This window comes from Homo sapiens, chromosome 3 (genome assembly GCF_000001405.40).
Source record: "Homo sapiens chromosome 3, GRCh38.p14 Primary Assembly".
Classification (NCBI taxonomy): Eukaryota; Metazoa; Chordata; class Mammalia; order Primates; family Hominidae; genus Homo; species Homo sapiens.
Window position 1 is genome coordinate 112,661,290 of NC_000003.12, and position 26,903 is coordinate 112,688,192.

Below are 26,903 nucleotides of genomic sequence, written 5' to 3' on the forward strand. Positions count from 1 at the left end.
CATAGATGACTCATTATTTTGAAATACGTCCCATCAATACCTAATTTATTGAGATTTTTTAGCATGAAGGGTTGTTGAATTTTGTCAAAGGCTTTTTCTGCATCTATTGAGATAATCATGTGGTTTTTGTCTTTGCCTCTGTTTATATGCTGGATTACATTTATTGATTTGTGTGTATTGAACCAGCCTTGCATCCCAGGGATGAAGCCCACTTGATCATGGTGGATAAGCTTTTTGATGTGCTGCTGGATTCGTTTTGCCAGTATTTTATTGAGGATTTTTGCATTGATGTTCATCGAGGATATTGGTCTAAAATTCTCTTTTTTTGTGGTGTCTCTGCCTGGCTTTGGTATCAGAATGATGCTGGCCTCATAAAATGAGTTAGGGAGGATTCCCTCTTTTTCTATTGATTGGAATAGTTTCAGAAGGAATGGTAACAGTTCCTCCTTGTACCTCTGGTAGAATTCGGCTGTGAATCCATCTGGTCCTGGACTCTTTTTGGTTGGTAAGCTATTGATTATTGCCACAATTTCAGATCCTGTTATTGGTCTATTCAGAGATTCATTTTTTTCCTGGTTTAGTCTTGGGAGAGTGTATGTGTCGAGGAATTTATCCATTTCTTCTAGATTTTCTAGTTTATTTGCATAGAGGTGTTTGTAGTATTCTCTGATGGTAGTTTGTATTTCTGTGGGATCGGTGGTGATATCCCCTTTATCATTTTTTATTGTGTCTATTTGATTCTTCTCTCTTTTTTTCTTTATTAATCTTGCTAGCGGTCTATCAATTTTGTTGATCCTTTCAAAAAACCAGCTCCTGGATTCATTAATTTTTTGAAGAGTTTTTTGTGTATCTATTTCCTTCAGTTCTGCTCTGATTTTAGTTATTACTTGGCTTCTGCTAGCTTTTGAATGTGTTTGCTCTTGCTTTTCTAGTTCTTTTAATTGTGATGTTAGGGTGTCAATTTTGGATCTTTCCTGCTTTCTCTTGTGGGCATTTAGTGCTAATAAATTTCCTGCTACACACTGCTTTGGATGCATCCCAGAGATTCTGGTATGTTGTGTCTTTGTTCTCTTTGGTTTCAAAGAACATCTTTATTTCTGCCTTCATTTCGTTATGTATCCAGTAGTCATTCAGGAGCAGGTTGTTCAGTTTCCATGTAGTTGAGTGGTTTTGAGTGAGATTCTTAATCCTGAATTCTAGTTTGATTGCACTGTGGTCTGAGAGACAGTTTGTTATAATTTCTGTTCTTTTACATTTGCTGAGGAGAGCTTTACTTCCAAGTATGTGGTCAGTTTTGGAATAGGTGTGGTGTGGTGCTGAAAAAAATGTATATTCTGTTGATTTGGGGTGGAGAGCTCTGTAGATGTCTATTAGGTCCGCTTGATGCAGAGCTGAGTTCAATTCCTGGGTATCCTTGTTGACTTTCTGTCTCGTTGATCTAATGTTGACAGTGGGGTGTTAAAGTCTCCCATTATTAATGTGTGGGAGTCTAAGTCTCTTTGTAGGTCACTCAGGACTTGCTTTATGAATCTGGGTGCTCCTGTATTGGGTGCATATATATTTAGGATAGTTAGCTCTTCTTGTTGAATTGATCCCTTTACCATTATGTAATGGCCTTCTTTGTCTCTTTTGATCTTTGTTGGTTTAAAGTCTGCTTTATCAGAGACTAGGATTGCAACCCCTGCCTTTTTTTGTTTTCCATTTGCTTGGTAGATCTTCCTCCATCCTTTTATTTTGAGCCTATGTGTGTCTCTGCACGTGAGATGGGTTTCCTGAATACAGCACACTGATGGGTCTTGACTCTTTATACAATTTGCCAGTCTGTGTCTTTTAATTGGAGCATTTAGTCCATTTACATTTAAAGTTTATATTGTTATGGGTGAATTTGATCCTGTCATGATGATGTTAGCTGGTTATTTTGCTCGTTAGTTGATGCCGTTTCTTCCTAGTCTCGATAGTCTTTACATTTTGGCATGATTTTGCAGCGGCTGGTACTGGTTTTTCCTTTCCATGTTTAGTGCTTCCTTCAGGAGCTCTTTTAGGGCAGGCCTGGTGGTGACAAAATCTCTCAGCATTTGCTTGTCTGTAAAGTATTTTATTTCTCCTTCGCTTATGAAGCTTAGTTTGGCTGGATATGAAATTCTGGGTTGAAAATTCTTTTCTTTAAGAATGTTGAATATTGGCCCCCACTCTCTTCTGGCTTGTAGGGTTTCTGCCGAGAGATCCGCTGTTGGGCTTCCCTTTGAGGGTAACCCGACCTTTCTCTCTGGCTGCCCTTAACATTTTTTCCTTCATTTCAACTTTGGTGAATCTGACAATTATGTGTCTTGGAGTTGCACTTCTCGAGGAGTATCTTTGTGGCGTTCTCTGTATTTCCTGAATCTGAACGTTGGCCTGCCTTGCTAGATTGGGGAAGTTCTCCTGGATAATATCCTGCAGAGTGTTTTCCAACTTGGTTCCATTCTCCCCATCACTTTCAGGTACACCAATCAGACGTAGATTTGGTCTTTTTACATAGTCCCATATTTCTTGGAGGCTTTGCTCATTTCTTTTTATTCTTTTTTCTCTAAACTTGCCTTCTCGCTTCATTTCATTCATTTCATCTTCCATTGCTGATACCCTTTCTTCCAGTTGATCGCGTCAGCTCCTGAGGCTTCTGCATTCTTCACGTAGTTCTCAAGCCTTGGTTTTCAGCTCCATCAGCTCCTTTAAGCACTTCTCTGTATTGGTTATTCTAGTTATACATTCGTCTAAATTTTTTTCAAAGTTTTCAACTTCTTTGCCTTTGGTTTGAATGTCCTCCCGTAGCTCAGAGTAATTTGATCGTCTGAAGCCTTCTTCTCTCAACTGGTCAAAGTCATTCTCCATCCAGCTTTGTTCCATTGCTGGTGAGGAACTGCGTTCCTTTGGAGGAGGAGAGGCGCTCTGCTTTTTAGAGTTTCCAGTTTTTCTGTTCTGTTTTTTCCCCATCTTTGTGGTTTTATCTACTTTTGGTCTTTGATGATGGTGATGTACAGATGGGTTTTTGGTGTGGATGTCCTTTCTGTTTGTTAGTTTTCCTTCTAACAGACAGGACCCTCAGCTGCAGGTCTGTTGGAATACCCTGCCGTGTGAGGTGTCGGTGTGCCCCTGCTGGGGGGTGCCTCCCAGTTAGGCTGCTTGGGGGTTAGGGGTCAGGGACCCACTTGAGGAGGCAGTCTGCCCGTTCTCAGATCTCCAGGTGCGTGCTGGGAGAACCACTGCTCTCTTCAAAGCTGTCAGACAGGGACATTTAAGTCTGCAGAGGTTACTGCTGTCTTTTTGTTTGTCTGTGCCCTGCCCCCAGAGGTGGAGCCTACAGAGGCAGGCAGGCCTCCTTGAGCTGTGGTGGGCTCCACCCAGTTCGAGCTTCCCAGCTGCTTTGTTTACCTAATCAAGCCTGGGCAATGGTGGGCGCCCCTCCCCCAGCCTCGCTGCCGCCTTGCAGTTTGATCTCAGACTGCTGTGCTAGCAATCAGCGAGACTCCGTGGGCGTAGGACCCTCCGAGCCAGGTGTGGGATATAATCTCGTGGTGCGCCGTTTTTTAAGCCCGTCGGAAAAGCGCAGTATTCTGGTGGGAGTGACCCGATTTTCCAGGTGCTGTCAGTCACCGCTTTCTTTGACTCGGAAAGGGAACTCCCTGACCCCTTGCACTTCCCAAGTGAGGCAATGCCTCGCCCTGCTTCGGCTCGTGCACGATACGTGCACCCACTGACCTGCGCCCACTGTCTGGCACTCCCTAGTGAGATGAACCCGGTACCTCAGATGGAAATGCAGAAATCACCTGTCTTCTGCTTCGCTCACGCTGGGAGCTGTAGACCGGAGCTGTTCCTGTTCGGCCATCTTGGCTCCTCCCTGCCAGATAGCTCTTATTTTGAGGTATGTTCCTTCAATGCCTAGTTTGTTGAGGGTTTTTATCATGAAGGGATGTTGGATTTTATCAAAAGGTTTTTCCATGTCTATTGAGAGATCATATGTTTTTGTCTGTAGTTCTGTTTATGTGGTGTATCATGTTTATTGATTTATGTATGTCGAATCAACCTTGCATCCAAGGAATGAAGCCAAGTATGGTCACGGTGAATTAACTTTTTTATATCCTGTTGGATTTGGTTTGCTAGTATTTTGTTGAGGATTTTTGCATCTACGTTTATAAGGGATATGTGCCCGTAGTTTTCTTTTTTTGTTGTATCTTTGCCAGGTTTTGATATCAGGAGATATTGCTTTCATAGAATGAGTTAGAGAGGAGTGCCTCCTCAAATTTTTGGAGTAGTTTCAGAATTGGTAACAGTTCTTTGTATAACTGGTAGAATTTAGTTGGGAATCCATCTGGTTTTGAGCTTGCTGTGGCTGATAGGTTTTTTTAAATTACTGATTCAATTTTGGAACTTGATGTTGGTCGTTCAGGGTTCCAATTTCTTCCTGATTCAATCTTGGGAGATTGTGTGTTTCCAGGAATTTATCAGTTTCCTCTAGATTTTCTAGTTTGTGTGAATAGATGTTCATAGTGGCCTCTGAGGATCTTTTGTATTTCCGTATGGTCAGTGGTAACATCACTTTTGTCATTTCTTATTGTGCTGATTTAAATCTACTCTCTTTTGTTCATTAGTAGTCTTGCTAAAAGTCTATTTACCTTATTTGTCCTTTCAAATAACCAACTTTTTGTTTCAATGATTCTTTGTATGAATTTTTGGGTCTCAATTTTATTCAGTTCTGCTCTATCACCTCTATTTTAAAAGTAAAAACATTCCTGCTTTTATTCCTAAGCATGACTTATTTTAAAATTCCAATAAAAATTTAATTTATCATTGAATGTCCAAATCTTCTGCCTTCTCTTTAATATGAAATTTGGGGAAAGATACATTTCTTCTGATTTAACAACATTCTTCATACCTAAAGTCAAAAGGGAAAACTTTGCTTTGTATTTTTCTGTGTCTTCTTTTATAGTGTTTTCACAATGTCGTTGGTGGCCAAATTATTGTGCTTGAAATTTTGTGTTTGGTTAACACAAGCATACAAAAGAGGGAGTTTAATGTTTAGTGTCTGATTATTACTATTATTTATTAAAATTTTTTGCCTACTTTTTGTCATGCTGGCAGTATCTCCATCTCAATTTGCATATGGGGAGCCATGTTTGAAAACTAATTCCTTCGAAAGGAAGAATGTTTCAATATTATGGGAATCCAGTTTATCCATATTTACAAGCTTAACTTATTCTACTTTTACTACTCCATCTAATTTGCATCTTTGATATTCACTGTGGCTGTAGTCAGAATAGTTTTCTCTTAATTTATGTGCAGGCCTCAATTACTGGTAAGCAACAGGTATTGGTCAATCACAAAGTGTTTTAGATCAAAACAGAAGACCTTAAGGCCAAAGTTTTGTGCTTTGACCATTCCCATGAGCCCTTCTTGGTATCCACAGCATGTTCTCATTATTGTGATATGGATTTAAAGAAAGGTTTTAAAAGCATGACAGATTAGCAACATTTAATCATCCTTGTATGGAACCATTACACTCAAAATGTGATCCAAAACTAACATTACACAGAATCTTTTGTAAAAATTTCTGATCCCATGGCTACCCATGCAGTGCAAAATATTTATGTGAGCACAAATTTTTCAAAGCAAAGCACTATCAAAAGGGTATTATATCATGTCTCCTTTTTACTGCCTTCATGGTCTTACTTAATATTTGTGCTAGACACTTTCACTGCAAGAACCCCCTTGAAAGAAACATCTGTAAAGAAAGTTTAGGACATTGAAATGCCAACACTAAAAAAACTTAAAACTTACCCCTAAACAGAGTTTTCTGAATAATCATATCAACTTAAATAGAAACAGAAGTTCCTGCTCTGAAGATAAGGGACTAGTCTTTTCTTTGGCTCCTATATCTTCACACATACTTCTGGGCTGTAGATCAGTTCTGCAGTTTCCAGGTCCAGAGAAATCAGCATCCTTCAAGAACCACAAGGCAAGAGGAGAGGTCCTTGCAAATACCTCTAAAGCTCTGTCCATCTACCCTGTCAACTCTACCTGCCTGCATGTGATGATAACAATTTTTTACATCATGGTTCTTAGTCCTGACCCCTCAGAATTTACAACTGTCATGAACCTTGTTGTTAGCTGTCAGTCTATGGTCATCAAGGTTTCCCCCTTCAAATGTCTGGTTCTGATCTTTGAATAACTCTGGCCTACTTACAGTCATACGGCCCTCCCGTAAACCCCTCCAGCCTCTTTCTCCCACTGGAATTTCCTACCATAGTAGCTCTTTACTGCCTCTGCCTGATCTAAGCAGGTATAACCCTAGAAGGTTGACCAACGGGGAGTTGACTTTCTAGGTCTGGACAAGACATAAGCAATGAGCATATTAATAATAAATGGAAATAATGTTGAAGGAAGTAGTTGCCTGACTAATGTCATGATGTTCTACACACCCATAGACACTGTCATTCTCTCTCTCTACGTGTCTCCATCTCTCTCTCTCTCTTTTCTCTTCTCTTCTTATTCTGACATGAAGCAGATGAATCAGAATGAGTGAAGGAGAATAGACAAAACAAAACCACAAGCACAACACGAAGGGAAAAATAGTGACACCTTTAACTGATGAGAAATAAACCAGAGAATCCGTGAGGGCCATTTTATACAAACATGTAAATGAATATTAACTCCTCAAGTTCAATAACTAACAGTGAGTTATAGGAAATACCTTGCAATGACCAACCATGCACAGAATACTGCATGTTTTCTTTGCTCAGTTAGCCACATCAAAAGTGTTTTCTACAAACTGCTAATGAAAGAAACACATGAGTACAGGCTAAGCATGCTTAGAAATCTCTATGATCTCTCAATCTCCATCTTCCTGGCATAAAGATGTTTCTGTGGGGATTGAAGCAGCAGACACACGTTTACACATTTATGCGTACATATATATACATATATATATGTCTCCATTATCAGAAATTCTTCTAGAAATTTTGTGAATTGCTGAGAAGAATGCTCATAATTTTAAGATAATGCTAAAGATACTAGAGAAGAAAAATTAGGAAGTTAGCAACAATCAATAAGTGGGTTTGACTGGTATTGAATGAGGGATGGTAGACATAAATAGCTCACAAAATCCTTACAAAAGAACCTGAAATACCAAGAAGAGTATTTTTCCAAAATTTGGGATTTGACAAAATGAAGACTAAAGATCCTTATAAATAGATAAATTGTCAATTAGCAAGTAGTTGAGATCTCACAATTCCTTAATATCTGGAAATTTAGAAACACTGAGCTATTTGGTGGTGTAGCCCCTATAATTTCATTTTTTAATGATAATTTATATTGTTTCTCACACAGCACTCTTGCTTTTATTAAAAATAAAATTTCTGCAATTTAAAAGTAGTTCCTAAAAACTGATTCAGACCCAAGAGACTTGAAGAGAGTGTATGTACCTAAAGGGGTCCATGCAAAGGTTATATCACATTATCACTTCATCATCGACCTATCCTGGGGAAATCACGAGGGGGTTAACCTCTATAGCTAATTCCTCTCTCAGGGTCGATCCCTCAGTTCTAGCTCTTCATCCGTAGCTTCCTGGCCTTCTTTCCTTAGGCATTCCTAGCCCCTACTGTGGTGCTCTGCCCTGCCCTCAAAATCTCCATTCCTGTGTGCTTTGTGTACTCCAAGGGGACAGTTAGCCAATAGGATTCCTCCATCTTCACGATGGTGCTCATGAAGCCTCAGGTCTTTAAGGGTCTTTCTTCCCATTCCCCTAAGTGTTGAGGACTTCTGGAGAGCGTGCCTCTGCCTTTGGTTGTCTAATGCAAACGAGGGACTATAGGACAAGGAAAGAGGATCTTTTCTGAAGAAATGCCAGTCAGAAAGGGATCCACACTCAGTCATCCCATGGTTTCCTCTCCTTCTCTTTTATCTCCCCAGATGCATGTGGCCACCATCCCCTGGCCCCAAGTACCTTCAGATCCTCATAGGTATCTTGTCTTAGGTTAAGTTTTTTTTTTTTTTTTTGAGTCAGAGTCTCACTCTGTCGTCCAGGCTGGAGTGCAGTGGCGCGATCTTGGCTCACTGCAAGCTCTGCCTCCCAGGTTCACGCCATTCTCCTGCCTCAGCTTCCCGAGTAGCTGGGACTACAGGCGCCTGCCACCACGCCTGGCTAATTTTTTTGTATTTTTTTTAGTAGAGACGGGGGTTTCACCGTGTTAGCCAGGATGGTCTCGATCTCCTGACCTCGTGATCCACACATCTTGGCCTCCCAAAGTGCTGGGATTACAGGTGTGAGCCACCTCGCCTAGCCATCTTAGGTTAAGTTTTCATTTCTCCCTTTGATAAGCTGAGAGCAGTTGGGATTTTCCAAGAGAATATTTAAGAGGAAACTGTGGGAATACTAATGGGAAGAGACAGGCTAAAAGGAAAACATGCCCTTTCTCAGAAAGACTCAGATCTGAATGCAAATGGTTTGGACTGGGTTGTCTTACTGTTGTGGGAATCTGGCCTCCTGGATCCTTTCCCATATAATTATCTCTGGGGACTAATGTTTGCAAGCCCCTTTTCAGTCCCCCATTGACCATCCTTCTCTTTTTCCATATCTACGAAGGAGTTGTGTTTGCTTTTCCTGATGGGCAATGGGACTCAGTAAATAATGAGCCATCTTCAGGTAAAGAGAGACCTCAGATTTCCAAGGAAAGAGAGAAATGTAACAAACTGAATTCCATATTACGGTAAAGGGTAAAGGGGTGCTTTTCAATGCTCTAGTAATAGGAATTTGGGATCCTTGGCTACAGACAGACTAATAATGGTGCATATATGTCTAGGCAGGCAGGGCTCCTGAGATTAGGCACTTGTCCATACCATGTATGAGTACATGATGTCTGATGCCTAGCCACCTTACTTGGCAGAACAGAAAAACACAGAGACCAAGGAGTCCACAATGTGGGTCATTCTCTAACCTCCTTCCAAGATACATTGGAATCCCCTGCTAGCAGAGATATTTGTGAGCATGAAAATGGCCCTCAAGTACAAGCTGCAGAAGAGAGGAGGAAAGGAAGTAGTAGACCTGGATATTCTAACCCAGATGACAATTTGTAATTCTAGTTTCAGGATTGAGAGTCTTTGAGAAAGTGCATTGGAACAGGAATTGGTATGCCTGGGTTTTAGGTCTGGTTCCTTATTTTCTTGCTTTACCTCTCTGGGTGTTGGTAGTCTTAAGTCCAATATGAAAAAGACTGAACTAGTTGGTTTTTAAGTACTTTCAGCCAATGCTTCTCAAATTGTGTATGGTGAAGTTCTAGTTTTGTTTTTGTTTTATGTACATTTGGTTGCAGACTAGTTCTTTCGTACAACACAATAAAAATAATTGCCAGAAAAGCAAGCACATGCCTAGATGTCACAGAAACACCAAACTGCTACGAAAGTTTCTAAATATTCCTGTCAATACCTGTCCTTATCTTGTCACAGACTGCAGCACCAGTTCTTGGGTCACATGTTGAATAACATTGCTTAGAATTCCAGCCTTCTGAGTATAAGTTGTGAATCTGGCCAACATGGTGAAACCCTGTCTCTACTAAAATACAAAAGATTAGCCGGGCATGGTGGCGTGTGCCTGTAGTCCCAGCTACTCAATTAAAGGCTGAGGCAGGGGAGTCGCTTGAACCCGGGAGACAGGTTGCAGTGAGCTGAGATCACGCCACTGCACTCCAGCCTGGAGACAGAGCAAGACAAAAAACAAAACAAAACAAAAAAAACCACAGACAAACGAACACAAAACCATAAAAGTACAACGCCTTGCAATTCACTTGCAAGAAAAATTGACATCAGTGTAGTATATGTGAAAAAGACTAGGTTGGTCTGTGTATCTGTTTCAGTGGCTCAAGCCACACCTGGGATGTCTACTGAGTTATGGAATAAAACAGTGTCATAAACTATTATAATACAATTTTTGTATAGTTTTTTTTTTCTTTTTTTTGAGACGGAGTCTTGCTATGTCACCCAGGCTAGAGTGCAGTGGCACGATCTCAGCTCACTGCAACCTCCACCTCCTGGGTTCAGTTGGCTAATTTTGTATTTTTAGTAGAGACATGCCTCACCATGTTGGTCAGGCTGGTCTTGAACTCTTGACCTCGAGCAATCTACCCACCTTGGCCTCCCAAAGTGCTGGGATTACAGGCATGAGCCACCACGCCCAGCCACTCCTTTCTTTTTGAAGTAGAGAAAACAAAAACAAATTCTATCTTCAGCTGGGCCTGCTGCTACAAAATGGAATACACACTGTGTTCAAGGCACTGGGCTGAAACATTCACAGTCACTGTCTTACTTAATACTCACACAAGGCTATGAGGAAGACATGATTATTGTCTCCACTTTACAGATGAACAAATTGAAACTTAGAGAGGTTACAAAACTGGCACAGTTCCGAAAAATGGAGGTTCTATGATGCAAACACAGGCTCGACTAACTTCAACATGTGTAATATAATCATTATGCTGTATTATAATTCATAATTACATTTATGGACAACAATAGCTATCTACCAAAATTATGCTCTGTGGTACAATGGAATATTTGCCCTAAATTAGGTCACAGTCTGGAGGGAAAGACAAGTATGTAACAAAAAAGACGGTCAAAGATTGCTGGGAGAACAGAGAAAAGAGAACACCTAACTCTTCCTGGAGGGAATCAGAGAAAGTGCCACATAGGAGGAAACTCGTGAGCTAATGTTTGGGGAATTAGTGGACATTAGCCAGGCAGAAAAAGCTGGTGGTCATTCCTGGCAAAGGAATGCAAAGGCAGGAAGGCTTAAGAGAATCTGGCACATTGCAGAACAGTAAATTCTTTCCATAGTCAGGGTGTAAGATATGGAATTTTGAATACTGAATGGAGGAGACATAAGAGACATGATGGGGAGAAAAGGCAGAAGGCAGAACACGGAGAACTTTGCACGCTATGCTAAGGACTTTGGACTTTTTCCAAGTGTAGCAAAAAAAAAAAAAGCCATTGAAGGAGTGTCTGTAACATGATCACATTTGTGTCTTAGATAACTTTAAGAATGGATTAGAGGATTGTGTAAGGCTTAGGGCCTTGGGTAGAAAAATTGCAATAGTTCATGACACCATTTTATTTCATAACTCAGTAGACATCTCAGGTGTGGCTTGAGCCACAGAAACAGAAACACAGGCCAACCTAGTCTTTTTCACATCTTTCAGAGTTGAAGGTCTAGAACCACCCAGATCTCCTCAGGCCACTCACTCATTCGCTAATTTCTTAATTCAATAGACAGCAATTTGACATTTGTTTTTCAAGTGCTAAGATCAGACTTAGAGCAAACTCTTACCATTCAGTTTTTCACAAGACAAACCCACATCCTCTAAACTAAGTCAGATTGAACAGGCTCTTCCCCCTAAGTAGTAGAGGTGTAAAGTTATCATTATGCATGTCTCTCTCTGCCCTCCACTCCCTAGCAGTTACCTTTGTGCATCCATCTTACTACCAGAATCCCACCAGGAACACCAGTCATATGGGTCTATGCAGAGTCCCTGCATTCTAGATAATTACATGTGGTGTCAGAGTGCTGAGCTACCCTTAGGCCAAAGCTCCGCAGAGATTTCTGCAGAGGGACTGCCCACTATTGTGGGAGAAGTGCTGAACAGGGTGAAAACTGCATTGACTGAAAGATGTCAGTATCTTTCCCTAGCAGACCAATTTTCAGAAAGATAAAAATTCTTGTGTGGTTTGTAGAGACATTTCAAATAAAACCCACATCGTATCCACAAAGGAAGTTATTTGTTTCAGGCTCACCCATCCAGACAAGATGAAAATTTTGCCTTCTTGCTTGCATAGATTCTTGCACTGGATTCTTCAGTGTAAGAACAGGAACCAACACATCATACCAAAATACTTTATTTTTTGCCATGCTTTTCTTTCCGGATTCTACATAGTTGCTATCTTCAATAGTCTCAATAACAAAAATTTGCTTGAGGATCTATTGTGTGCAAAGCACTCAACAGGACACAGAAAAAAAAAATGTGTGAAGAGCATTACTGTCTGTGAGATCAGTCTAACTGAGACAGGAAAAAAGGTTCATAAGAAAAAATAAATAACACATGGAATATATTATGTTTTAAGTACAAGGTACCGGTAATGATTTCACATGAGGAAGAAATTCGTCTGAATTGACAGGACAGGGAGGATTAAATTATCAGAGAGAACAATCCTGGAGGGGCTCACAGATGAATAGTATAAACACAAGGATTGGAAGATAATATTTAACATTCACACTACATTGCTAAACTGTTCTAGGCACTGTATGCATCTTAATTTATTTTATTCCTTATATCCTTATGAGATAAGTTCTAAATGATCTCTTATATTAAAGATGGGGCGAATACAGCACAGAGATTGAGTGATTTGCCCAATGTCATATGGAGCTAAGAGGCTGTTAAGCACTCTTCTATATAACACAGCATAAAACGTGTGAACAACAGGCAGGCTTCATCCAGAGGCAGTAGGAGAGAGTAGGGGTGGGCGATGGTGTGCGTGGGGCAGATGGCAAGATCTGAAGGGAGCGGGGACATGCACAGAATTGCCCCCCAAACCCTGATATTCTCAAGGTGTGTGACAGCCTGAAAGCCATTCACTTCTGAATTTTAAGAATCAGCTCATTTTATATTTAAAAACATAGGTAATTTCAAAAGTCAGAACTCAAGTGGTGCAATTTTCCATAATCACAGAGTGCAGTGTTATTGGGATTCAAGGGGAAACTGGGGTAAGTGGTATTTTGTGTATCTACAAAAATGAATATTAATATGGCCTTCAATTGTTAAAATTTACTAATTAGTATTTCTCTAGAATTAGTACTTACAGAGCTGACTGACATTTGTGTGAACATCAATTTTAATTAAAAAACAATCGTGAAGGTTATTTGGCCTCTTAATTTATCCTTTTCTCTGGAATTGTTTCTTGCTCCTTCCTCTTTCTGCCAAAAGCCAGAGACAGTAAGCAGTGACATCCTGAACAGGTCATTCCAATGCTCATCACAGTCCCACTTGGGTGGAAATGTGGAGTCAGCTCGCCTCCTCCCCACTCTAGTCAAAGGACACTGCATCTGGTTTAAGGAGAGGAGAGAAGAGTAGAGGGATGTGGCAGAATGGTGACATGGTTGGCATTTTAGGAAGGGAAATCTTTTGTAATCAAAGAATAAACCTCAGTTGAGTTGACACTATCTATTCTGGAACAAATTCACCAAACTCTTTTCCACCCCAAAACATGTTACGAAAACAATGATCTCATTTGAAGGGGCAGAGAATGGTTAGATGAAGACTTCATCAGACAAGGTTACTGAAAAGGAAAAAAAAAATAAATCAACATCTGAGTTTTGTAAGTGCCTTAAAAAAAGTTGCTGAGAGGAAAACCAATAACTCTCTCCTCTCTACTCTTCCTCTAGCTCTAATTCAAACATCACACAAAATCCACACTCTTATTTTGAGATTTCGTTTTCTTCTATAGTCTTGTTCCTCTTCCCCTTCCTGAAGTTTTTAATATTTTGAAAACTTTTCCGTCATATGACATTCATTTTCACACCTTCGACAGCTTATGTATTTCTGAGTCCTTTTAGTGAGCCCAGGTCTCCCAGACAAGCCTCACTTCAGGATAAAGTGGGGAGGCAGGTTCTTGCCAGGCATGACACAAAATGTCTTTTTTCTTATTGGTTGAACAGAGCCTTTCTACATTAGTCCCACAGTGCTGTGGAGTCCAGGAAAGGCATGATCAAGAACAGGGCCAATCAGGAGTTATAAACAATGTTCCAGACTGCTTAGAGGAGACCCCTCTATGCGGCCTCAACTCCCCAGGACCAGAGAGGGAATGTGCCTTTCCCATCCTCTCCTTGTCTCTGAATAATAGGTGATATTTATTTAAGGTACTCATACTGAAGCCTCCATTTGTAATTGTTCAGATCCCTCTGGAAATAATTTTTAAAAACATAAAATTGTACAAAGTTCCCTGGTGGAAAAAAAAACATATCAGGTACTTAATTGCTTAAAATAAATCTTTATTGAATAGATGAAAGCAATAACTTCTGGCATGCAGAGTAGAAACAGAAGCAGTATGATTCTCAGGAGAAGTGAAGTGTCAAAGGAGGACCTGGAGATCGCAAGGGAAGAGGGAGTGGTGTTGTTGGGGGAGCCCGGCACGGAGCGTGATTTGCTCCTTGGAAAGTCAGAGGTGATGGGTGTTTCTCATCTGGGCAGAGAAACAAACACAAGGAGTCAGGATCTGCGGCTTCCTGGGTGGAAACAGGGCCAGACAAGACAGTTCAGACGGGACTAGAAAAGGAAGCAGAGGGGAAGCAATTGGCAAAAGGTTTTCCAATAGTCAGAGATGGTAACAAGCTGGTCCCAGATGCTTGGACCCAAATACTTAGAGCAATAAGTTGACTTCATAAGGTAAATTGTAAACTAGACAGTGCTGAGCCATATCTAATTTATACTTTAGGTGTCCTCATGATTTTCTAGAAAAAAATTACTATAAATTTTAATTATTTTGGTTATTTTCCAGTTTTCTTCAATGTTTCTTGTTAAATTTTAATTTGAATCTCTTTTCCTAAAGCCACCTTGTAAATGAGTCTTTATTTTGAGATTTTTTTTTTCTTCCATTTATTTGCTGAATTTAATCAATACTCTTCATTTCTTCCTGGCTGGCTTTTGTTTGTTTATTTTTTGGTCCACTTGGGTTTTTGTTTTTCAATTTTTCATTCACTTCAAATACAGGTAAGTAAGGCTTGAAAGAGATGGGTATTTGTAGAAGCCACAGCCTGGCAGAGAAAGGAGCATCTGCAAAGGCACTGAGGCAGGAGCAAACCTATCTTATTTGAGCAAAATTAAGAAAATCCGCATGGCTGGATTAGAAGAGCAATGGGATTATTTTTATTATGTGTCGGGCACTGTCTTAGGGGCTTTAAAAATATTAACTCATTTTGTTCTCAAAACAACACTACGAACAGGATACGATTTTTAGCCTCATTTCACCAATGAGGAAGTGAGGCACAGACCAGTTAAGTAATTTACTCAAAAACACACAGAAAATAGAGCCACAGAATAGTCTGGTTCCATCTTTTATACTAGGAGAAGGAGGAAAAGAAAGAGGAGGAGATGGAGAGGAAAGTGGAAGGGGAAGGAGAGGAAGAGGACAGGGAAGACTAGGACAGGTGAAAGGTAACAGGGTACCTCAGCAGGTAGGTCTCACAGAGCATTTCTGGGACTCTCACTTTTACTCTGAGTGAGATGGAACATCATGGGAAGATTTTAATCAAGGAAGTGACATAATTTGATTTACATTGGAAAAGGATCCCTCTGGCTGCTGGGTTGAAAACAGACTGTAAAAGAGAAAATGATGGAAGCAGGAAGACCAGCAAGGAAGCTATTAAAGTAACACAGGGTGTCAGATCAGCTGATATTCACAAATTCGGATTTTTCATGCAAAAAAAACCTCATCTTTGTGTTTCTTTAAACATATTGGCAACTAATTCAAGCCTTTGTAAAATACTGTGACTGCTCATTAAAAGACATGTTGACAGACACCACCCCCTCACCCGTAACACACACACACACATGCGCGCCCTCTCCTCTTGCATGACTCCTCTCTCAGGGCTGAGCTGTTTTTCTGAGGGTGCCACAATGAATCAGCTGCTTAGTCATCTCTGGAGTGCGGGAGCTAGCAGAACAGCAAAGAGGCATTACAAACCCAATAGCGGGTTTCACTTCCTTGAGCAGTATTTATTCTGCTCTCTACCTCATGCTGCCCAAACTGTTGGAGAGGCCCTATCCACTCTCCCTGCCTTTTCAGCCCTTATTCTCCCAAATGCAGCCACAGAGGAGGTAAGAGAGACAATCCTGGTTGGTGGCAGACATTATCCTAGTATCATTTTTCCTGCCCCTGGAGACCTGAGATGCTGAGTTATAAATGCCCCCTTCACATTTGAAACTATATTTTGCAAGCCCTAGGAAGGCAGCTGTGCAAAGCTTGCAAGGAGGACAGAAGTGTGCAAACTTTTTTTTATCCCCTCCTTAATAAAATCATACAAATTGATGCAGGTGAACCCGCTAGCCACCAGTGGATATCTGATATCAGTCTGAAAATTTTAGACCTGATTTCTGAGGTGTGCATGAGCTTTGGCCTTTGTTTTAATAACCAAGGGCTGAGATTCTCTTTGAGAAGAAGGTCCCCTCCCATTCTCTATGCATTTTTTATTTGTATAAATTTAAAGGGTACAAGCGAAATTTCGTTACATGCATGTATTGCACAGTGGTGAAGTCATGGCTTTTACTGGATTTGTTATCTGAAAAATGTACTTTGTACCAATTAAGTAATTTCTCATAATCTCCCCACCTTCTGTGCCCCCACCCTTCCAAGTCTCTAGTGTCTATCATTCCACACTCTTTGCCCATGTGTACACATTATATAGCTCCCACTTATAAGTGAAAACATGCAGTATTTGACTTTCTGTTTCTGAGTTGTTTCACTTAAGGCAATGGCCTCCAGTTCCATCCATGTCACCGCAGAACACATTATTTCATTCTTTTTTATGGCTGAATAGTATTCCATTGTGTTTATATACCACATTTTCTTTATCCTATTATCCATTGACAGGACACTTAGGTTGATTCCATATCTTTGCTGTTGGCCACACATTTTTTTAGATGTGGTTACTACAGCAACACACTTGTCAGGTCAGCCTTGGGAAGACAGCAATAACTTCTGTCAGGATACAGAAACAAATTTATCTTCTTAGTAGCTGGCCAGATAATTTCCTAAGGGAGAAAGGGCTTTGATAGCAATGAGGTGGGTAAAAGACATAGCCTTGGTCTTAAGTGAAGAAGGAAAGTAGACGGAAGACTGGGACCAAGCACTGCAGAGGAAATGTGAAGAGTGATGGGAGTCTGGCTGGAGAAGTGGGGGAAGTCGGGGGAGGCTTAGAGAAATAGGTAGCTGCAGGAGGTGGGGGACTGAGCAGAGCATTGGGAGATGTGACTCTTTCCTATGAATCTCCAGATCACCACTAAAATTACCAAAAAATCTTTGCTGCAAAAACTGGTGAAGGGCCTTGGGTATTAAGGTTGGCCTGGGGCAGAAACAGAGTCACCTGCACAAATAAGGGAAAGGGTCAGGTCTAGGCTGAATTACTTGACACAGGCAGTTAAGTATTATACACAGAGTCAGGATGCAGTTGCAGGACAGGTATGGAGCCAGAGCTAAAGTATTTATCACTCCAAACTCAGTTCCGGGTGATTATTTCTGGCCCTCATTCAGCCTTCCTCTCTGGCTCTCTGGAGGTCTCCTTCCTAGTCTAGTATTTCTAATTCAAGACAGCAAGCACAGTTTAACAATTAAATGAGGGTTTTGTCTCACGTGAGGTAGTGAGTGTAGTTGTCAAGAATGATTTAAATCCTGACTTTGCCACTTTTACAAGTGAGTACTTGGTTAAGTCCATCGGTTTTCCAATTATGAAATGGTCTAATAGGGTTATCTATCTCACAGGGATGTTGTGAATGTTAAATAACTAACACATATAAAGTATCTAATATTATGCCTAGTACATGGCAATATTTTAGTAAATATGCCTACGTATTATTACTTAATACTGGGAGAAAAAAGGGAGTTTAGCCACAATACCAAAACTTCCTTTTCTGTTCACTGAGTATATTTTTTAAAATTTCTATTTGTAGTCATAGTTTTATTTTTTAAATGTTGTGTTATTGAGGTATAATTGACATATAATAAACTATACATACTTAAAGTATCAGTTTGATGAATTTTGAGGCTGTATCTGTATCTATCCATGAAACCATCACCACAATCAAGAGAGTGAACACATATATCATCCCCCAAAATTTCCTTGGGCCCTATCTTAGTCTTTTGGGGCTGCTATAACAAAATATCATAAACTAGGTAGCTTATAAACAACAGAAATGTATTCCTCACAGTTCTTGAGGCTGTACAAGATCAAGGCACTGGCAGATTCATTGTCTGGTGACAGCTCTCTCTCTGCTTCAAAGGTGGAGCCTTCTTGTATCCCCACAAGGTGGAAGGGGCAAATGAGCTCCCATGGGCCTATCTTATAAGGGGAACAATCTTCTTCATGAGGGCTCCTCCCTCATGACCTCATCACCTCCCAAAAGGGCCCACCTCCTAATGCCATCACCTTCGGGGGTTTGGGCTTCAGCGTATAAATTTGGGGGGAACACAAACATTCAGACCATAGGTATCCCCTTGGGAGTCCCTCCCTCCCAGTTTTCCACATCCCCCTTTACCCACTGCACTCCCAGCAAACTACCGATTTGCTTTTTGTCACTTTGATTCATTTGCATTTTCTAGAATTTTACATAAATATAATCATACTCTGTCTTCTTTTACCCAGGGTAACTATTTTAATATCCATCCATGTTGCTCCATGTATCAATTCTTCCTTTTATTGCTAAATAGTATTCCATTGAATGGATATCATCCACTTTATCTATTCACCTGTAGATAGATATTTGAGTTGTTTCCAGATGTGGGCTACTACAAATAAAGCTGTTATGAGTATTTGTGTACAAGTCTTCATGTGGTCATAGGTTTTTATTTATCTCATGTAAATACCTAGGAGAAGTGGCTAGACCCTAGAGTAGATATTTTTTAATTTTTTAAGAAGCTGCCAAAGTCTTTTCCAATGTAGTTGTGTCATTTTTACATCTCCGTAAGTAGTTCTTCCACATTTTCATTCACATCTTCATAACAAAGTTAGCCATTCTAATAGGTGTGTAGTGTTATCTCATTGGGATTTTAATTTGCATTTTCCTAATGACTAACTATATTGAGCATCTTGGCATTTGCTTACTTGTCATCTGAATATCTTCTTTTTTGTTTGTTTGTTTGTTGTTGTTGTTGTTTTTGAGAGGGAGTCTCGCTTTGTTGCCCAGGCTGGAGTGCAGTGGCAGGATCTTGGCTCACTGCAAACTCCGCCTCCCAGGTTCACGCCATTCTCCTGCCTCAGCCTCCCGACTAGCTGGGACCACAGGCGCCCACCACCACGCCCGGCTAATTTTTTTTGTATTTTTAGTAGAGACGGGGTTTCACCGTGTTAGCCAGGATGGTCTCGATCTCCTGACCTCGTGATCCGCCCGCCTCAGCCTCCCAAAGTGCTGGGATTACAGGCATGAGCCACCGCGCCTGGCCTGAATATCTTCTCCAATGAAGAGAAGTATCTGTTCAAATATCTTGCCTAGTTTTAAGAATTGGGTAGTTGGCTTTCATATTACTGACTTTTGTAAATTCTTTATGTATTCTAGATACAAGTTCTTTTTCAAATACACACTTTACAAATACTTCATCGCAGCCTGTGGCTTGTCTTTTCATTCCCTGAACAGTGTTTCTGATGAGCAGAAAATTATACTTTTTATAAAGCCCAATTTATCTTTTTTTCTCTTTTATGGATAGTGCTTTTGATATTGGGCAAAAGAAATTTTTGCCTAACAGGTACCAAAAATTTTCTCACGTCTCATCTAGAAGTTTTACAGTTTTGCTTTTACACTTAGGTCTATAATCCATCTTCATGTATTTTTAATATGGCATGAGACATAGACCAAAGTTCTTTTTTTTTGGTTTTGTTTTGCATAAATATATTCACTTATTTCAGTAGAGTTTTTTTTCAGTTTTTTAATTTGGTTAATTATGTTCATTTTTTAAAATATTAAGTCAGTACTACACTACTGGAATAAACACAATTTGGTCATAGTATATTACCCCTTTTACATATTATTGGATTCATATTGCTAAAATCTAGTTTAAAATTTTTGCATTTATATTCACGAGGGATATTATACTATAGTTTTCTCTTTTTTAATGTTTTTGTCTGGTTTTGACATCAGGTTAATAGCCTCATAGAATAAGTTGGAACTACTCTTTTAATTCTCGGAAGCATTTGAGAAGGATTGGTGCTAATTCTTCTTTAAATATTTGGTGGAATTCTCCCGTGAAGCCATATGGTCTCGCACTTTTCTTTGGGTGGTTTTTAATTACTGATTTAATCTTTTCGCTTATTACAGATATGTTCAAACTTTCTATTTTTTCTTGAGTCTGTTTTGGTAGTTTTTGACCCACTGGTTATTCAAGAGTGTGTTGTTTCATTTCCATCTACTTGTGAATTTCCTAAATTCCTATCTGCTACTGATTTCTAATAAGTTATTGATTTCTAATAAGTTATTTCATTGTCATCAAAGAATATATTTCATATGATTTTAATCACTTAAAATATACTGATCTAGATACACTCTTTAAGCCAGGCCTATATTAAGGTTGCCTCTAGCATCTGTCAATCTTTACTCCTGATGAGTTGGAGTTTCTTTTGAAGCTAAGTAGTCTTGTGTAGGCTGCATGTCGCCAGCGAGGGCTGGGATCAGCCTTCCTATATGGGTTTCTTCCTACTTAAGACCACAAATAATCCGTCTGGTACAATTTCGGGAATGCCTTTCTTTCTCTAGTTGGTGGAGCCGAAAGGCATCCCAATCCTGGGCAGATGAGTGTAGTAGGCTGACATAAATGTAATGTTTATACTTATGAGGTTACTTTGCAAAAGCTATTTTACAAAATTCCAGTGAGTGCTGGGAAGATGTGGTTAGATTTCTGATGGCAGGGCTTTTTTTCATTACAGGTTTCATTTCCCTACCTGGCATTCAGCCAATGTCCCTTTCACTGACTGCTAAAATCAGAACAATAAACCATTCCCTTCCTCAGAGGTCTCAACAAAATTCCCCCTCATAACAAGCTCATATTTCCTGGCCTCTGCCAATTCCTTAGGATGTTTCAGCATGTTTTTCCTTATTTTCTGAAGACCTTAGATACAAGGATTTATAAAAGAGTACTTTCAAATATTTTCAGGCAAGTATGATTCAGAGCTCACTTTGGAGTTATTTATCTGAGGAAATATCTAAGCCAATGAGTCGAAACCTAAGTTTAGATTGTACAAAGAGAAGAGAAGTAGAATAGGTAGACACATGGGTACATAGAATAGTCCACAGTTTCCTTTTTTTGACATGGCTGCATGATCATTGTCAGGTCAAAGAACTCTTAGAGGTTTTTTCACTGCTTATAAACAGGAAAATTAAATAGAGCTTCTAAGTATACTGTGATATTCGCCACAAATAAAAATATCCCATTTTTCTTTCATTGCTTCTCCTTGGGCCTTGCCAACAGGCAAAGGGGGATGTCTTACTCATGACTGTGTTTGACGTACAGCACATCCCTGACTCAATGAACTGAGAATACTAATTAAATATTTTCTTTAAAAAGTTAAACTTCAGGCTGGGTGCAGTGGCTCATGCCTGTAATCCCATCACTTTGGGAGGCTGAGGCCAGTCATCACCTGAGGAAGGAGTTCGAGACCAGCCTGGACAACACGGTGAAACCCCGTCTCTACCAAAAATACAAAAACTAGCTGTGCATGATGGCAGGAGCCTGTAATCCCAGCTACTCGGGAGGCTGAGGCAGGAGAATTCCTTGAATCTAGGAGACGGGGGTTGCATTGAGCTGAGATTACACCATTGCACTCCAGCCTGGGCAACAAGAGCACTTTGGGAGGCTGAAGTGGGTGGATCAGCTGAAGTTAGGAGTTTGAGACCAGCCTGACCAACATGATGAAACCTCATCTCTACTAAAAATACAAAAATTTAGCCGGGCGTGATGGCGGGCGCCTGTAAACCCAGCTACTCAGGAGGCTGAAGTAGGAGAATCGCTTGAACCCAAGAGGAGGAGGTTGCAGTGAGCCAAGATTGAACCACTGCACTCCAGCCTGGGTGACAGAGTGAGACTATCTCAAAAAACAAACAACAACAAAAAACAAAACAAAGCAAAACAAAAGTTTAACTTTGTATTAAATCTCAAGTTAAGGGAATTAACATCTAGTCGCAAGAAGGAGTTAAATAACCTGGAACAGAAATTATAAAAACACAAATCTCTAAACCTGTGTATGGACTACTGTTTATTACTAAATTCAGCTGTTGCAATCGCCATTTAATTCAAAGTAACTCTAGTTGGAACTGTAAGACATAAGAACAAACTTCACCCTGACTTCTTTCCTAGAATCAGGAATTGTTTTTTTCTACCTGAGCTAAAAGGCTGAGGCATCTTGATTCCTTAGTGACTCTAAATAGCCCTAAGTCATAACTTTTAATAACAGTTTTCTTCCCTGATTGCCTAAAAAGACAAATACGATAGGGACTCAAATTATGTTTATAATTATGAAAACATTTATCTGTTTTCTCTTTTCCTTTACTGATATGATGTGTGGGCCCTAGATATTTTTGTTAAAGCTGTCTTAGCACTTTGATTTTACCAGGGCCAGGCCTTTTTTCTTTCAGATTATTTAAAAACATATTTCAACTTAATAAAACAATGTTAAGCAAAGTTGTATAGTAGTTTTCTCACATACACATTTGTGGGTTGTCTGCCGTGTAGCTTATTTAAAACAAATGTTTGCTACCAGATTAGATGTCCCCCACCCCCAACCCTTCATAGCCCACCTTTACTTAACGTATCCTGGAGGGTAAACATATTGCTAAAGAAAATATAATACATTCTGAATACAATGGAAAATATTTTATTAACTCTTTGTGATTCATTCTTAGCAATGTTCCAATGAGTCCATTGACTCATAAAATTGAGAACTTTTAAATTATTAGTCAAATATTCACTCCCCTCCTTTTCATTTATACCAGTAGTGGGTGTAATCCTTATCCTATATTCTCCATGAATATTTCTCAGATATAGTTATAAGGGTGATCCTCCATAGTCCCATGGATTTACCTCTGATTTTGTGTCTTACCTGAGAACAAATCCTAATTTCCAGTCCATTTGTCCTTGAGAGAGAAGACACAGCTTTCACATCGTCCTCTATGCACCTTTTTATTTCTGGGAGAAACACCACACTGTCCTGTTTTCCATGTGTTTTAACACTTTGAGTGTTTGAATGAGTCTAGGGAGGTATATCTACCCCCACTCCAATTGCCCGCCAAAATTATATCTCAGTGTTTAAAGTTCCCAGTGTATAAAGTTCCACCATTGAAAATTAAGTCCCAAGAGTGTAGGTTGTCTACCTCCAGGGGTTTTCCTCTAAACGCAAGTATCCTTGGGAGGGGCGACCTATTAAACAATAGTGTATCAGAAGGAGTTATTTATTTCTTATATGATGACTCAGGACATGTGGACAGAATTTGACAGGAGAGTGGGATGAAAAAAACAGAATTAGAGAACACTGGTCTAGGACAAAATCCTAAGAGGGAGATCAGATTTGTGGCTCCAGTTAGGAACAGTTTTGGGGTACTCTAGAACTCCACTGGGAGAGGGAGGCAGACTGTTAGAGGAGCACAGAGCCAGAATCAGGAACCAGTGGCAAATACTGCCTATTTCACAATGATGGGCAGAGCTAGAGCCTGGTGAATGTGTATTTTATAATCCCCCAAGTCAATTGGAGATTATTCTGTCAGATGAGGCCACTTGTGCCTCCAAACAATTCAGTATGGCCAGTCACATGATGTGGATGCTAGCAAAGTAATAGAAGCATCAGGATAAAACAGGAGTCAAGATCCATCACACATTCCATAGGATCCTCTGTAGATTCCCATCTGGAAGCCCTGGAGTATGGCAGGAATATTTTCCAAAGTATTATGAAATTTCCATTAAGCAGGGTGGGATTATTTTGCCAGAGATTTTTTTTTTAAGACATTTTCACATGGGAAACCATGTCTGAAGATCGTAGAGAAGAGTCAGGGGATACTTTTAACTTCAGATTAAATATGTATAACCTTGGAACCCACAGCTTCCCACACAGGCTTTCAGATAGGCAGAGTGAGTAGATTTAGAAACATATACACAAATATGCATAAATAAATACACATATATATACATTGTGGCTATATTCTACATAGGACAAGATAATTTACAGAACATATATCATTATAGATGCCATGTAGACTCCTAAACTACTTTTAAGTAAAAACAAGCTATTCTTAACAAAAATGATCAAGAAAAAAGTAAAAATCTGTTTTTGTCTGTGATTAAGTCTGTGTAGGTCTTATAATTGTAAGCCCCAAAACTATCTCCTGTTCTTGAAGTAGGATCTATGAAGGTATCCCCAAGGCCAAATGACCAGAAGTTAAGGATGGAAAACCATGAGGAGACAGACAGCATCTGGACACAGGCCCACTACAATAAACAGACTCATACATTGCGCCCCACCCATCTCACTCTTCTAATTCCAGAGTCACTAATACGGCATCTGGTGTTCATAACAAAGCAACCTAGCACAGGGATTGGAGAACGGATACAGCCAGCGTTGAACAGCTCCTGCCCTCTGTCTCTGCCTCAGCAACAGTTTTGGTCAGAGGAAGCTGAGCTCTAACCAGATGTCGTTGTGAAGCCTCATCTTTCACCATCTCTCTCGCCGTACAACTTTGAGAAGTCCTTAATCCAGCTCAGTCTCAGCCTCTTCATATACAAAACAAGATAATTGGCCCGGGTGGTCCTAATGTTTTTCTAAACTCTTAGAGTTGAAGATCTTAGCATTGGAAACAATCACCATGAACTTACAATGTGAAATGTTGAATAATGGATATAAAATAGAGACTACTAAAATAGTAGGAAAAATAGAGTCATAAAGTGAAAAACTGGGTTTTTTAAAATGGATTTTAGAAACAAAATGAAATAAATTAATGACAAAGTTATGTTTTGCAACCCAAATGAGCTTAGCTAGCTCACATCTCTTTCCACAGTAGCCAATTATCTTTACTTTGCAACACTTCCATCTAGTTGAATTGGTCAACTCAGTTATTAGTCAGTGATCTGAGAGAGAGAAAACTTTCCTGGGGGGATTACTGTTCTATTCCTATGGATTCATGGCTGTTTTGATACTTAACTTTAGTCAGATACCAAAGAACATCTGGTGTTTCATAAAATGTCACCTTCGAATAGAAATTTGGCAATCACGTGCTGAGTTCTGGAAAATGACATACTGTCTAACCAGAATCCATGTGTGGGCTCCTGTAATAGATCTGAAAAGAAAGTAACTTGGTCTAATTTGCCCAAAAACGCTGACTGTGGGCTGCACTCTAAGGTGACTTTTCTGAGTGGACACATTCTCCAGCACCATTTCTAACATAACCAGTCCACAGATACCAGCTGGCACGTGGAGTAGCCAGCCTGGTCAGGGAGGAAATGGTAAAAACAAAGGGATAGAGGAATTCCAGAGACAGAGAGCATTAGTGCTGGTTGAGCATTGTGGATTAGTTCTTGTCATTCAAATATAAAGCATGGTCAACTGCATCAAAGGAAAGAAAAGACTGATGCTGTTTTATCTGTCTTTACATTCTCCCTTTTATTCTGGGACAAGTATTTGGAGTTTCTTAAGCCCTAGAGCTAGACTGGAGCCCTTCAGCTCCGTACTCTACCACTTAGTTATTATGAACACTTGGGTGGATTACTGATCCTCTCTGTGCCTTGGTTGCCTCTTTTGTAAAATGGAAATAAAAATGCTTTCTATCTCATAGAGTTGCTTTGAGAATTTAAGGACTTAATATACATTAATTTTTAAAAAGATTAGTGCCCAACACAGAGTAAGCACTGTGTAAGAATTTATTATTATGCTAATCTTCAAAAGGGAGAATCAGTGGATAAAATTTTAAAAATTTTTGGTAGAGTGCTTGAAAGATGGTCAGATTTAGACTTTATTTCCTTGGAGCAGTCTTAATCCTTTACCACCTGGACTTCATCTGATTCTTTCTGCCACCTGCTTCTTTATGGGGGAAAAAAAGAGGCAGAGGGTTCTCAGACTAGAAACAAATTATTACTGTTGCTGAGGTTCCTCTTCTTTTCCACCCTTGGGTCTGCTCAGGAAAGAAAGCAATTTGTAGGTCTGAAATTAACGTTTTCCTTCTCTTACTGGGCTTCACTGCCTGAAACAATGTTAGAACTGTCTCATGCTTCCCAGTGAAGATGGGTTTCGTCCTGCAAGCCAGACAGGCTTGCAGGCTATGTCTGACTAGGGATTGACAGCAATTATGTCACTGCTGAGCCACAAACCAAACAAAACTTAGGGCTTTGGAATTTAGACAATAGCTGAATTACAAGGGTACTGTCCCAGAAGGGACCGTGCTTATGTTTTGCAGACCTGGACAATAAAATGGCTGTGTCTTTCAAAATAATTGCCCAGGTCTTTGTTTTACTGAGGTGTGCCTTTGCCTTGACAACAGAGAATTTCCAACATGGGGAGAAAGCAGGTTCCCTATCATAATCTTCAGGATAGCTTGATTGACTATAATTTCCAATCTTTCGAATCTGCAGGACACCAGCAAGCACTGACTTCACCATGCTGGGAAAAAACATATTGGTCCAGAGAGGAGGATGTTGTTTTGATTGGCAACTCAGCCAAACAGGGAGATCATTGCAAATTCAGATGGGTGGAGGGTTTCTCAGAAATGCTTAGTAATGGCCAGAGGATATGCCATGGTCTGAGATAGATGCTTAGCCAAAGATAATGTCCCACAGGAGGCTAGTTGGTTTCAAGTAAAACAGGTCCAGGTCTAATAGCCCAGGACCAGCCCTAGGCTCCAAATGGTAAAGGGAGACTCAATGGCCCCCAAAGCATTCTGAACACTCCAAAATCCCCTTTTTCTGGGATGCTTATTATGTCCAGAGGGGAAAAAAGACTAATAAAACCAATTCTCATTAAGATGTTTAGGCCTGAATGTGACTCTTCTTCCATATTCTAGAGTTATTTAGTTTTTGAAAGAGAACTGTAAAAGAAAGTGATAAATCACCTCCCAGGGTAAATTCCAAAGGTAGAATTCCAGGACGTGTGTAATCCA

General features: G+C 40.0%; 2 annotated features.

Annotated features, from left to right (window-relative positions):
* Positions 3,589-4,162: an enhancer, noted in NCBI's record as "H3K27ac-H3K4me1 hESC enhancer chr3:112383725-112384298 (GRCh37/hg19 assembly coordinates)". NCBI's record gives its function as "activates a minimal SCP1, AML or CMV promoter by ChIP-STARR-seq in primed H9 embryonic stem cells {active_cell/tissue: H9 hESC(primed)}" and the evidence as "EXISTENCE:reporter gene assay evidence [ECO:0000049][PMID:30033119]".
* Positions 25,033-25,622: an enhancer, noted in NCBI's record as "OCT4-NANOG hESC enhancer chr3:112405169-112405758 (GRCh37/hg19 assembly coordinates)". NCBI's record gives its function as "activates a minimal SCP1, AML or CMV promoter by ChIP-STARR-seq in primed H9 embryonic stem cells {active_cell/tissue: H9 hESC(primed)}" and the evidence as "EXISTENCE:reporter gene assay evidence [ECO:0000049][PMID:30033119]".